The sequence below is a fragment of the Homo sapiens genome, chromosome 5, assembly GCF_000001405.40.
Source record: "Homo sapiens chromosome 5, GRCh38.p14 Primary Assembly".
NCBI classification, from domain to species: Eukaryota; Metazoa; Chordata; class Mammalia; order Primates; family Hominidae; genus Homo; species Homo sapiens.
Genome location: NC_000005.10, coordinates 147,411,393 through 147,425,312, shown reverse-complemented (window position 1 = coordinate 147,425,312; position 13,920 = coordinate 147,411,393). Strand labels below are relative to the sequence as shown.

The following is a 13,920-nucleotide window of genomic DNA, read 5'->3' as shown; positions in this document are numbered from 1 at the left end:
AGGCATATGTTATCCCACTTTAAATATTTAGTGCCTACTGAATCAGAAAATATAATATAAAGGATGTCTCCCTTACTTGAGTAGATATGTTTCCAGGTGGCTATAATATTAATACATTGCAGAAGCAAGAGGTGAAACCCTAGAATAATTTGAATTAAGGGCAAACAAGAAAGACCGGATCCCCAACAAATACACCTACTTTAAATGTTGAGTGCATTGAGCACACATATGTCTTTGGTAAATGTGTTTCTACTAGACATCTAGAACAATGAATTGGGAAAACCTTGGCAGATCACTCTTCTCTGAAATCATACCTGTGATAACAACTCATGTTTTCCTTCTTTTCTAGAGTGACCGTCTCCTTATCAAGGGAGGCAGAATCGTCAATGATGATCAGTCCTTTTATGCTGATATTTACATGGAAGATGGCTTAATAAAGTATGTATATGGAATTCTTCTCTTTATTGTTTTGCACTTCCTCCTTCATTAATGGCTCATAAAGGAGGTTGGATTACATGAATGTAGTGAAAAAAATCTTAATTTAATCAACAGAATGAAGTGAGATACTGAGGGCAAATTTGGGCAGAAAGTATTGATGAGCATTCTACGGGTCATGGAAAAGTGGAAGATGTGGCCATCATCCTTAAGGATACTGGAAAATGTGCACAAATTACAGCACCCTAAAAATATAAGGCTTTGTGCAATAGGTATCAAAGGAGTTGAAGTCGGGATAAGTGATTTAGAAGTACAAAGAAGAAGAAATTTATTTAGAAGTAATGCTTTGGGGTAGAGAGAGTATTTAATCTGAACCTTGACTTAAGGATAGGACTTAGATGGGCAGAGCACAGATAGGACATAGATTTCATGCAAGATTTGCAAATAAATTCATTAGGGATGTATAATTACATTCTAAAATGTATACTATTGGATGCCTGTAAGTGGCACAGCCAGGTAAGTTTTATGTGTAGGTTTCCTACATAGTGAACTTTAAAAGAAGATTTGATTTACATAGTGTTTCATCACAAAAAACAAAGTACACTACCCTGCAAAGATGTTGTAAAAGACTGGGTGTATCCAACCCATTCTATTAGCCCTGTCTGGCCTCTTTTAGTTTTATTTTTATATGACTTAACTTCATTGACTAGTTAAAGATTTTGGTTACAAGAGATCTCTTGCTTCTCTTTGAAAAATTGGCTTACATATAGTTTTCTGCAGGCAAACTTTTTTTACCAGCCCCCAAGTCTAGGCTAGCTTTCCCTTCTGTGTGCTTTCAAAACAGCTTGCGGTCGGCCGGGCATGGCGGCTGTAATTAAGTGCCTGTAATCCCAGCACTTTGGGAGGCCGAGGCGGACAGATCACTTGAGCTCAGGAGTATGAGATCAGCCTGGGCAACATGGTGAAACCCTGTCTTTACTAATACAAAAATTACCCGGGTGTGCTGGTGTATGCCTGCAGTCCCAGCTACTCAGGGACCTGAGGCAAGGGAATCACTTGAACCCAGGAGGTAGAGGTTGCAGTGAGCCAAGATGGCGCCACTGCACTCCAGCACTCCACCCTGGGTGACAGAGCTAGGCTCTGTCTCAAAAACAAACAAACAAACAAACAAACAAACAAAACCAGCTTGTGCTTTCATCAATCATAGCAATTCTGACACTGTTAGTCTCCTTTGAGAGTAAGGAGACTTACTTACTCTCATATCTTACATATCTTGTTTATTCCACATCCCAATTCTTAACCCAGGACTTAGCACAAAAAATTTTGATAAGAGCTACTTTTTATTGAGTGTGTAGTATGTGCCAGGCACAATGTTAAATGTTTTGCATGCTTTCTCTCAATCAGCCAGCAGCCCTCTGAAGTAAGTACTGTACTATTATTATTCTGTTTCCTGAGATGAGGAGAAAGCAGCACATAGAGTGTAAATAACTTGCTAAAAGTTAATGTATTAGTCAAATAACATTGAATGAATGAGTGAGTGAATGAATGAATGAATGAACAAATCCAAGAACCAAAAATATTTGTTCATAGTTACCTTGCCAATTTACATTATTACTTTCTTATATTGGAAGTAAGAAAAATGGAAACAATGGGAAAACCAAAATATATGACAATAATTTCTTCAAAATATAAGCCACAATTGATTTTATGTTTTTCTATTAACTAAAAAATTATTATATATAGTTGGCTCTATTCAGAGGTAGCAAGCTCTCTCATTTGGAGAGAATGGGAAAAATTTGTTACCAAATGCTTCCTCATTTCAGAGCTCATCATAGGCAGCACTAATTGTTCACAGAACTTTTTTATTATTATTATTATTATACTTTAAGTTCTGGGATACATGTGCAGAACGTGCAGGTTTGTTACATAGGTATACATGTGCCATGGTGGTTTGCTGCACCCATCAGCCTGTCATCTACATTAGGTATTTCTCCTAATGCTATCCCTCCCCTTTCCCCCACCCCCAACAGGCCCTGGTGTTTGATGTTCGCCTCCCCGTGCCCATATGTTCTCATTGTTCAAGTCCCACTTATAAGTGTGAACATGCGGTGTTTGGTTTCCTGTTCCTGTGTTAGTTTACTAAGAATGATGGTTTCCAGCTTCATCCATGTCCCTGCAAAGGACATGAACTCATTCTTTTTTTTTATGGCTGCATAGTATTTCATGATGTATATGTGCCACATTTTCCTTATCCAGTCTGTCATCAATGGGCATTTGGGTTGGTTCTAAGTCTTTGCTGTTGTGAATAGTGGTGCAATAAACATACGTGTGCATGTGTCTTTATAGTAGAATGATTTATATTCCTCTGGGTATATACCCAGTAATGGGATTGCTGGGCCAAATGCTATTTCTGGTTCTAGATCCCTGAGGAATTGCCACACTGTCTTCCACAATGGTTGAACTAGTTTACACTCCCACCAACAGTGTAAAAGCATTCCTATTTCTCCAAATCCTTTCCAGCATCTGTTGTTTCCTGACTTCTTAATGATCGCCATTCTAACTGGCGTGAGATGGTATCTCATTATGGTTTTGATTTGCATTTCTCTAGTGACCAGTAATGATGAGCTTTTTTTCATATGTTTTTTGGCCACATGAATGTCTTCTTTTAAGAAGTGTCTGTTCATATCCTTTGCCCATTTTTTTGATGGGGTTGTTTGTTTTTTTCTTGTAAAGTTGTTTAAGTTCCTTGTAGATTCTGGGTATTACCCCTTTGTCAGATGGATAGATTGCAAAAATTTTCTCCCATGCCTGTTCACTCTGATGATAGTTTCTTTTGCTGTGCAGAAGCTCTTTAGTTTAATTAGATCCTGTTTGTCTATTTTGGCTTTTGTTGCCATTGCTTTTGGTGTTTTAGTCATGAAGTCTTTGCCCATGCCTATGCCCTGAGTGGTATTGCCTAGGTTTTCTTCTAGGGTTTTTATGGTTTTACGTCTTACATTTAAGTCTTTAATCCATCTTGAGTTAATTTTGTACAAGGTGTAAGGAAGGGGTCCAGTTCCTGTTTTCTGCATATGGCTAGCCAGTTTTCCCAACACCGTTTATTCAATAGGAAATCCTTTTCCCGTTGCTTACTTTTGTCGGGTTTGTCAAGGATCAAATAGTTGTAGATGTGTGGTGTTATTTCTGTGGCCTCTGCTCTGTTCCATTGGTCTATGTATCTGTTTTGCTACCAGTACCATGCTGTTTTGGTTACTGTGAAATTATAGTGTAGTTTGAAGTCAGGTAGTATGATGCCTCCAGCTTTGTTCTTTTTACTTAGGATTGTCTTGGATATACAAGCTGTTTTTCAGTTCCATATGAAATTTAAAGTAGTTTTTTCTAATTCTGTGAAGAAAATCAATGGTAGCTTGATGGGAATAGCATTGAATCTATAAATTACTTGGGGCAATATGGCCATTTTCATTATATTGATTCTTCCTATCTGTGAGCATGGATTTTTTTCCCATTTGTTTGTGTCTTATTTCCTTGAGCAGTGGATTATAGTTCTCCTTGAAGAGGTCCTTCACATCCCTTGTAAGTTGTATTCCTAGGTATTTTATTCTCTTTGTAGTAATTGTGAATGGGAGTTTGCTCATGATTTGGCTCTCTATTTGTCCATTACTGGTGTATAGGAATGCTTGTGATTTTTGCACATTGATTTTTATCCTGAGACTTTGCTGAAGTTGCTTATCAGCTTAAGGAGTTTTTGGGCTGAGATGATGGGGTTTTCTAAATATACAATTATGTCATCTGCAAACAGAGACTATTTGACTTCCTCTCTTCCTATTTGAATACGCTTTATTTCTTTCTCTTGTCTGATTTCCCTGGCCAGAACTTCCAATACGATGTTGAATAGGAGTGGCGCTACGGCCATACCACCCTGAACATGCCTGATCTTGTCTGATCACAGAACTTTTTACAATTGAGCCTTAAATACAGGTTTAGAATCCATCTTCACATGGTGCTTCAGGGATCTACAACCAGGGTTGAAGGTGTAAGATGATTCCTTTTCGCCATTTCTATTAGAAAGACTGAAAGGCCACTTGCCAAGGATGTTGTAGGAGGAATTTAACCATCAGATGTGTGTGTTGGTGGTGGAGAGAAGGTTGAGTTAAATGATCATAATTCAATCCTGAAATTTTGTATGTCTCCAACAACATTCTTAACTCACAGAGCATAAGAACAGAAATAACCTCCTCTAACTATCACATAGTTGTTTGTCTGTCTGTGAATATTTGTGGAATACTTGTTATGTGCCAGGCAATTTTTTGAGATATTGGACTCATGCTATGTCACACGGTATGGTACTCATTATCAAGGCCCAAATCATCATGCTGTCTTCCCCCGGGACCTTTTAGTCTTTTAGGGGAACTGAGATATCTGTATATATGCAAAGGACCTAGCATTACCAAGGAGTGGCATATCAAGTATTATATTCATAGAACAGGTGAGATTCAGAGAAGGGAGTGGACTGATTATTAATTATAGTAGCTGACATTTATTGAATTCTTAGTTACCTAACAGTGTTTTATGGGCTTAACATATATTCACATTTAATCTGCAGCACAACCCTATGGAGGAGGCATCTTTATTACATTTTACAGAGGAAAGAATTGAAGCATGGTAAGGTAATTTGGCCAAGGTTATACAGCTAGTAGCTAGCAGAGCCAGGATTGTGAATCCAGATAGCCCACATCCAGTCTCACTCATTATTAGACTTGGATTTTGCTAGAAACTTGATGAAGGAGGGAAGATGGAAGCTGAGCCTTGAGGGATTAATGCGGCCTTCGTTGGTGGAGCAGTGACGAAGGGGGAAGCCATTTCTATTTCAGGCTTGGTATTAAACTAGTTGTCAAAATGGATGAAAACACACACACAAGCCAGGCAACTCTTCATGCCCTTGGTTCTCAATTTTCCTTAAAGGAGAACCTGTGAGAGAGAAAAATGAGAACAGAATTGGCCAGTATCTGAACTAGAATGGACTTAGGATCAGAGGCTGCATTTTACCAGTATATTTTGAATTATGGTGGCTCTGGAATGGCCCAGTGGTGATGTGGTAAAGTTGAACTCTTAGAGATGTCAGGAATACTTTATTTTAGTCGCAGAACTTGGAGTTTGAGAGGCCAGTGGTAGACTTCTTACTGCCCCAAGAGAGTGTCTTTCTTGGCTGTCCGTGGATAAAAGGGGAAAATATTCATGCAATGGACAGTGAGGTACAGATATCCCAAGGTAGGAGATTTTTAATGGTCATATAGAGGCTTATGAATCATAGGTCTCCCTGTTATCCATAGTGGACATGTTTAACCAGCTATTTTAATCAAAAATGTGATACCACGTATAAGCCAAGCAATACTGGCTGATCTATAAGCAGCATTGTGTGGGGACTAGTTGTATTTGTCACTTTCCTTGGAGGCTTGCCTTTGAGATACTCATTGGCTTCCTTCTGCCTGAGTCTCCCCCCTATTCCTCCCTAAGATGCTCTGAAGCTTCCTGGGCGAAGCCGTGTCTAGTGGCGGTTCTCATAATCACTCAGCTCGGCTAAAAGCTTCTACTGGGACACTGACCATGTCATAAAGGCAGCTGGTGCTGGAGGCATCTGCATCTTTGACTTCCTCCTGGTGAATCTGCCATCAGCTGTGATTGGCTGATAAATGGTCAGGAAAGGGTGGAATTGGGAGTGAAGACTTAGGTGGGAAATAACCCAGACAGAATCTTTTGTTAGGAGCAAAGATGACCCCACTTAAAAGATAGCTGAGTTCCCATACCTGTTCTTTAAATGATTTACTATTATCTTCTTCAGTCTCTTCTAACAGTGCACTATTTTATACTCTTTAGATTCTTCTCCAAATGTTATTTCTCACCTTAACTTAAAGAACAAAATGAAAGGAATAATAAAAATATTTATATGAAAAAAGTATTACACACACTATATTCTAGACACTATCAGACCCCTGGGGTTATAGTACTAAACCAGGACACGTGGTCCCACCGAATGGCATATCAGATCATTCTGTGACTATAAACATTGTTTTCTGTGTATATCTATCTTTGTTTATAGATTGCTAAGCTTGTGAGTCACTTGCAAAGTTTAATTTGATAAATACAAGTAACACTGTTTAAAATCCTTATACCACTATATTTGTCTTGGAAATTGCACTTTTAAATGACCAAGTGTTTGATCATTTTTTTGTTTGTTTGTTTCACCAGACAAATTGGAGACAATCTGATTGTTCCTGGAGGAGTGAAGACCATTGAAGCCAATGGGAAGATGGTGATCCCTGGAGGCATCGATGTCCATACTCACTTCCAGATGCCATATAAGGGAATGACCACAGTAGATGACTTCTTCCAAGGGACAAAGGCGGCCTTAGCAGGTGGCACCACCATGATCAGTAAGTCTTCATATTTTACACACTCCTGTTTCTCAGAAGTGTGTGTTTAATGAATGTGTTATCTCCAGAACTCTCTTACTATAACTTGTATACTTGTCCCAGTTCAGTTTATAGATGTGTTGCCTGATGGGACCTGAGAAAAGCAGATTGAGCTGAGGAAATGGGCAGCTCCCTGTAACTAAAGAGGAGATTCATGAGGCTCTTGGTCATGGCAGCACCTGCCCTCTTGTCTACCTTAGCAGCAGGCGCTGGCTCCTGCAATGAGTGGAGAATAGGAAATAGCATCTCTGGGCTAGTAAGAGGTGAAAGTAGACTTAAAAAGTTATGGATAGAAGATGAAACATTATTTCAAAACTGCCCACTTGGGTCTGAGAAAGGAGGGCAGAGCAGCGTGAATGGAGCTAAGGAGTATCACGGAGAGAGGGATTATGGAGAATTACATTTCTCGGAAATTTTGTAAACTTCAGTGGGTAAAGCTGTGTCTGGTGGAGGTTTTCAAAATCGCTGAGCTTGGTTTAAAGCTTCTACTGGGACGCTGGTCATGTCATAAAAGCAACTGGCGCTGGAGGCATCTGCATCTTTGACTTCCACTTGCATTTAGTGCTTATGGTCTGCGCTGTATTTTGACCAATTCATATCTTTAACATTTGGCAAGCTGTAGGAGTGGTTTCTCTTGTTTTTAAATTTTGTTTTGTTTTGTTTTTTCTATTGCAATTCCAAAAAAAATCTAGGGAGTTGCATGCCATTGGATTACTGAACCAATAGCATTCCAGGGCAGTCCTTCCTGTCCCAAAGGAATCCTGATGAATTGGGCCCCATCCCAGTGCTGGCCCCAAACTTGGTCAGGCAGAGAGCACTGTTTATTTTAACACCATATACATCCCCTGAGAACACAGGACAGCCTGAGCTGTAGAATTATTCACTGTCTTTTACTTCCTTTTGACAGGAGCATAAGCAGGGTTCAGCTTCAGCTAGTTGGGTGTGGAAGCCCAGAAAAATTGCACCAAAGCCATAAAAGGTGCAATTCAGGGTGCAATTCTCCAGCTGAAGGGTGGAAGCCTGCTGACTTCTCAGCAGCTGCCTGCTGATGAAAGTCCTGGTGTTGCCCCAGACATTAGTAATGTAGCTCCACGCATTTGCTTTCCGATAAGTGCACTCAGGCTGCTTTTGATAGAAGACTACGGGAATGAGTGATCTTGGCTTGGCTTTCTGCCATCTGGGCAAGGAGTTGGACCTGTTTGGCATCCTTGAGATTTGTATTATGCTTGGCCATCTGCATTAGGGAAGTCAGATTCCCCGTGACGAGAGTAAAACTTACAAAGAACCACAAAAGCAATTGTGTCCTTCATAGATAAATTAGGAAACCTAGAGATGCAAAAAGAAAATAAACCTCCTAATCCCACATCGCTGTTAGAGTTTGGCTGTATATTGTACACATTTTTAAAATCCTATTTGGCCAAACTAGGATCACAGTATATGTATTATATTTTAACCTTCCATTTTTGCTAAATAATATGTCATGGGTATCTTTGCATTCATTTTTGTTCTACCCCAACATTTAAAGTGGATTCCTAGTCATCCATTTTATAAAGCATTTATGTATTTAACCTAACTTCTCTATTGTTAACAATTTCAATTGTTTCCAATTTTTCACTTAGATAAATAAGTAGCAAACATCCTTGGAACCAAAATTTTGTATACAGCCTCATTTATTTCCCTAGGAATAATTCGTAGGTGTGGGAATAAATGTTGGGTTAAGGTTTGAAAAATGTCCGGGTTTTTTATGTATATTTCAGAGCTGCTCTCTGGAAAGTTGTCCTTAGCTGTACTTTGTCCTTACTTGTACTTTGCCTCAGCTGTTCAGGGGAACTATGAAAGTGTAACTTTTGCCTTTTCTTCATCAACTGTAGATGCCATTGTTTAAAAAAAATGTATCCATGGTTGTGGGTGAAAGAGTAGATTTGGGCCTCAAAGAAACCAGATTCTTGACAAGAAGTTTCCATGGAAATAAGATCTGCGGGCCCAGTATCAGGTTTATGTAACTGACACCAGCTTTGTCCTATAGCAGAGAGCCTCAATGTCTTATGCCCTAACTTAGCTTTAAACCTCGCTTTCGCCCTTGGAAGAGAGTCTGACCTTTTTCACTAGCAGTGACCTCCCCACAGTACTAGTAATAATGACACATAGTAGGCACTCATTGATGGCTAACATTTATTGAGCACTTACCATGAGCCAGGCATTAGATGAAGTACTTTACATGCATTTTCCCATTTAATCTTATAAATTCAGAAGAAAGGCACTAGTAACACCCTGACTCCCACCCCACTTGGCACCAACTTAAAGGAAAGAAAACTGAGATTTAGGGAAGCTAGTAATTTGCCCCAAATCACATAGCTTTGTGACATTTAAGTGATCAGCATTCTTGAAACTATCAGGGAACCCCTTCAAAAGTTAATTCCATGCTCAGGAAATAGAGATTCTGCAGTCACAGCTAAGCAAGCAGGAGCAGGCCTGGGCAGAGGGGAGCAAAGGCTGTGTCTGAGAGTGACTCATCTGGGGTCTCTGTCATTCAGTTGACCATGTGGTGCCTGAGCCTGAGTCCAGCCTGACTGAGGCCTATGAGAAATGGAGAGAGTGGGCTGATGGGAAGAGTTGCTGTGACTATGCCCTGCATGTGGACATCACCCACTGGAATGACAGCGTCAAGCAGGAAGTGCAGAACCTCATCAAGGACAAAGGTGAGCCCGGACATGCCGTCCTCCCTCCTCTCTTAGCTTCTTCTTGCCAGTCCTTCCAACACCATCCACTCATTTCAGTCACTGTCTTTTACTTGGAGCCTGGAACCTTGAGTGTGAGCACTGGATGTAGGGATAACACAATGTTCCAGGCACTTTATTTACTTCTTACAGGATCCCCATGAGATAGTGATTGTTTTCCCCACTTTGCAGATGGAGAAACTGAGGCTCAGAATAAGCAGCCCAAGATCATAGCATTAGTAAGCAGTAGGTGTATCCAAATTCTATGCTCTTCACCTCCATGCAATATTGCCCATTCTGAAGAGGAAGAAACTGAGGTTAGGAGAGGCTAACTAATCTTACATAAGGTTGTATGGCTAGTATGACCTATGAGATTAGGGATTTTTAACCTGTATCATTTTTGCTGTAGAGATCAAACCCTTACTATCATATAACAATGGCATCCTTAGACAAGGCTAAGGCATTTCTAGGAGCAAGGATGTATTGGTACTCAGGCTGGGAGCTTAGGGTGTGAAAACATGTTCATGTATATGTATATATGTTTCTGTGTGTTTGCCAGCGTGTGTCCTCTCAGTGAGTACATGATTTAGGTTCCACTGTCTTCTTAGATTCCTCCATTCTCTGCTTCTTTTTGATCAACAGATATTGCAAACCCCTCCCCCCCACATACAGGCACACATATGCACAATGTGCTCAGCATTGTAAGGCGGCCTGGGGGTCTTAGAGAAGTGTAAGTAATGGCCTTTGCTGAACACCCAAGGCAAAAGAAAACAGGCTCATGAAGAACAACAGAATAAATGTCATAGTGTGCAAGAACCATTACCAAAGGAGTAGTCTAGACACAAATGCTAGGAGTCCACTGGAAGAGTGTGCCCTGGGATGGCAGGGAAAGGATGACCCCCTCAGAGGATGATATTTTCTTTCCATCCCCTCCTTACCCCACAAGCCCTGCAAAATCTTTGGTGACACAGAATGTGAGATTAACTCCTTCTTTCTGTATTTGCGTTTATACTGGGCATCTCAACCGGCGTAGAAAATCGAACGGCTTTAACACTCACTTCTTTATCAAAGAGCCTGGATCATTCCATGGATAATGTAGAGGCTTTTGGGAAGGGTAGTGTTTGGGAAGACTGCCCTGAGTTGAACCACTCTGGGTAGGGAAGTTCTCAAATTACAACCCAGTTTTGGCCCAGAATACTGTGGGCTGAGAAGGCTCTAATGGTTAGAGACCAAAATTATCCCCCTTTCCTCAAAATGATTCTCAGTTCCCCAGTCCCACCTATTTCTGTAAATCACTGTATTAGTAGTTTATTTGGGGAGAGATCTAAATAGATCTTTACATATAAACCTTACAACTTAAGATATTTAAGCACAAGGTAAAACCTGCCCATTAGTTCCCTAAGGGTAGGATCTGTATCTTAGTTCTCCTTTCTGATCCAACACCCTGCACAGTAAAATGAACTGATCCCAGGAGATCCATTAATTGGAAACCAAATATGTGCCAAGCCTGGTGCTAAGAGCTCTGTATGTATTCTCTCCTTTAATATTCACAACCACTTTATGAAGTAGGGTATTGTTATTTTTCCATTTAACAGGTGAGGAAACCGAGGTCTGGAGAGGTTAAGTATCCCAAGCTCACTGAACTAGTATGTGGTGGATTTCAGTGGTGCAGCCCCCAGGGTATGAACACAACTGGTGTGCTAGAGTGATTCTTAATGCCACCTACTACTGCCTTGAGCAATAACAAAGTTTATTGACCTTCTGGGCTAGGGGATGCTGGACAGGGGAGTTTAGAAAGAGGCACAGAAGAAGAGACCATTCTGCTATGACATCTGTTAGGAATTGTTGATTTTATGGGGCAAGGGTGGGCAGAGCAAAATGCTCTTGAAGAATATAAATATCTGCTTTATGTTGGACAGGAGCCCGGGTAATGCAGCTGGGTGCTATGGTCGATGGAAGTGGGAGCAAAGGATGGAGGACAGTCATGATAATGTTGTCTTTCTCTTGTTTTTCCTCCTGTCCCTCTTTTGCAGGGGTTAACTCCTTCATGGTTTATATGGCTTATAAGGATTTGTATCAAGTATCTAACACAGAGGTAACAACCCATTTGCTATGTGGTTTGGGGTATCTGGATGGGTTTCCTATTGTTGTTGATGACCTTGGCCCTTGTAACATGAATCACTGTGGTCACTGTGGGAGACCACTGGGCCAGAATGCTTCTTGAAGCCTTTGCAGTCCACGCTACATTTTAAATAAGGTAACAGGCAGGGTGCCCATGGCAAGACAGACAGGGAGCTAGAGTTTCCACTGGCAGCAGCTTTCTTAAACGGCAAGAGGAGGAACATGCCTAAATTTCCATCTACCAAACAAGCTCCAAACCCCTCATAAGCCCAGTGAAAGTGTGAGGCTCTTCGCCTGCAGGACCAGGAGGGCCTTCTGCTGATTGGAATAATCCTACTGCCTTGCCTCTGACTCTCCCCCTAAGAAATTCATGACATGCGTTTGCTTTAGACAGAGGCTATGTTTTCAGAGGAAATACAAGAAATGAATTCCCATGCCTCCTGCTTAGAGGTGAAGGTATGTCTGCCTTCACAGGTTAAGAGATAAGGGTTTCAGTTTTTGTGTTTGTTTCTGGCCTGGCTGTAGTGGTTTTCTAGAGCATTTGTTGAGAAGAATTCTGAGACTGTCTCTCAGCTCAATGGGAAAATAATTCCATTAAAAATGTGTGCTAGAGGCAGAGGAGAGGAGTTGGTGGTACTTTATTATATATTTGCTCTGCCAGCCTAGGGAACATGGTAGGTTCTTTATATAGTCAGAGTTTCCTGGGATTTCTTTGGACTAGCACTCCTCTTTGGTCATGCCTATGTAATATATATTTCTGCCCTAGTGACTTATTTCCTCTGCTTTATCCCATCTGTTTTAGCTTGGGCTCTGGTAATTGGCCCTTCTGTGGGGCTGCTAAAAGTGCTTGCAAGAGTGACAAAGACTCATTTCTATTTCAGCTCTATGAGATCTTCACCTGCCTGGGAGAGCTGGGGGCCATTGCTCAAGTTCATGCTGAGAATGGGGATATCATTGCCCAGGTAACACCGTGCAGCTCCCTGGAGCGTGCTTTGGGTCTGCATTCCATTTTCTTCTTCATTTCTTCAGTGCTGCTTGAGCTCTCAATATGTGCAAGGCACCATCATAAGTACCTTGCTAAAGACAGAACCTGCTCCAAGGTACCTCACAATTTAGGTGGAAGAAACAGAGGGGAATGTAGACAAGCAATGAAACTAGAAGATGAGGTAAAACAGAAAGAGGGCTGGCCATTGTTGGAGAATCAGAAAAGGCATCCTGGAAGAGGAGGATTTCAAATTGGAACATTTAATGGGAGAGCATTTGCTGATTCTCTTCTGAAAATGTGTCAAAGCTACAAGACATTCTCTGTCATAAAGAAAGACCGTAAGGCAGCATTTCTCAGAAGCCAGAGATTGGATCCAAGTCTGTGGAACTCATAGCCTTAGATAATAGAGAATTTAGGTCTCATGAGGAGCAAAGGTCTCACTGGATTCCTAGAAATCATATTGAGAAACTTGAGGAAAGAGTGACGAAAGTGAGGGCCCCAAGGCCCAAATTGATCATTTGTAAGGAAGAAGGAAGCAGTTATCTCTCCATCTCCTGGGCTGCTTAATGGAATAGATGGACAGATGTGTCTTAGGAAGGGTTTTGTTTCTCAGAAACATCTCAAGATTGGCCTTTGCTAGGAGGAGACAGCCCGAAAAAAAAAGAGTGAGCTTTCTTCATCCATTTGATAATGTTGGCAACAAGAAACCGTTATTCATTCCTTCAAAGAGTATTTCCTGAGCACTTTGTGCCAGGCAGTAGCTATTGAAGTGAGCCAAAACAGATGCATTCCATAGCTCACTAATACTTGGGCTGTGCTTTTATTTTAGAAGTTGACCAGAACTTGGTGAATGTGGTCAGCAGGGGTGTAGGAACAATGTCTAGGCCTCCCCTCATCTCGGACCATTAGTTTCCTGATAGCAGGTGCCGTTTGGTGAGCACTGACTACTGTGTGCCAGGAACTAGTAAATTTTCTGGTGTATTCTCATTTAATTTTCACCCAACCCTTTAAAGATGCTATCATCCTCCCTATTTTATACATGAGACCATCCAGGCTCAGAAAGATTACGTCACTGGCCCAAGGATCACAGCAAATAACTAGGAAAACGAAATCTTTGCCCCTAAGGTGATATACCTCAGTGGGTATCTTTACTCAGAGATGGCATATCTGGGATCCCTTGCCTCCCAAGCCC

At 41.0% G+C, this 13,920-nt stretch overlaps 1 protein-coding gene across 3 annotated transcripts in view; it reads left to right on the top strand.

Annotated features, from left to right (window-relative positions):
- DPYSL3 (dihydropyrimidinase like 3) overlaps nt 1-13,920 on the top strand; it is a 119,261-nt gene that overhangs the window by 84,756 nt on the left and 20,585 nt on the right. For all 3 annotated transcript variants that reach the window (NM_001197294.2, NM_001387.3, XM_011537574.3), the window contains exons 2-6: nt 350-438; nt 6,682-6,866; nt 9,440-9,604; nt 11,656-11,717; nt 12,625-12,705. In NM_001197294.2, coding sequence (NP_001184223.1) covers nt 350-438; nt 6,682-6,866; nt 9,440-9,604; nt 11,656-11,717; nt 12,625-12,705 — 582 coding nt within the window. The remainder of the gene's footprint in view (nt 1-349; nt 439-6,681; nt 6,867-9,439; nt 9,605-11,655; nt 11,718-12,624; nt 12,706-13,920) is intronic.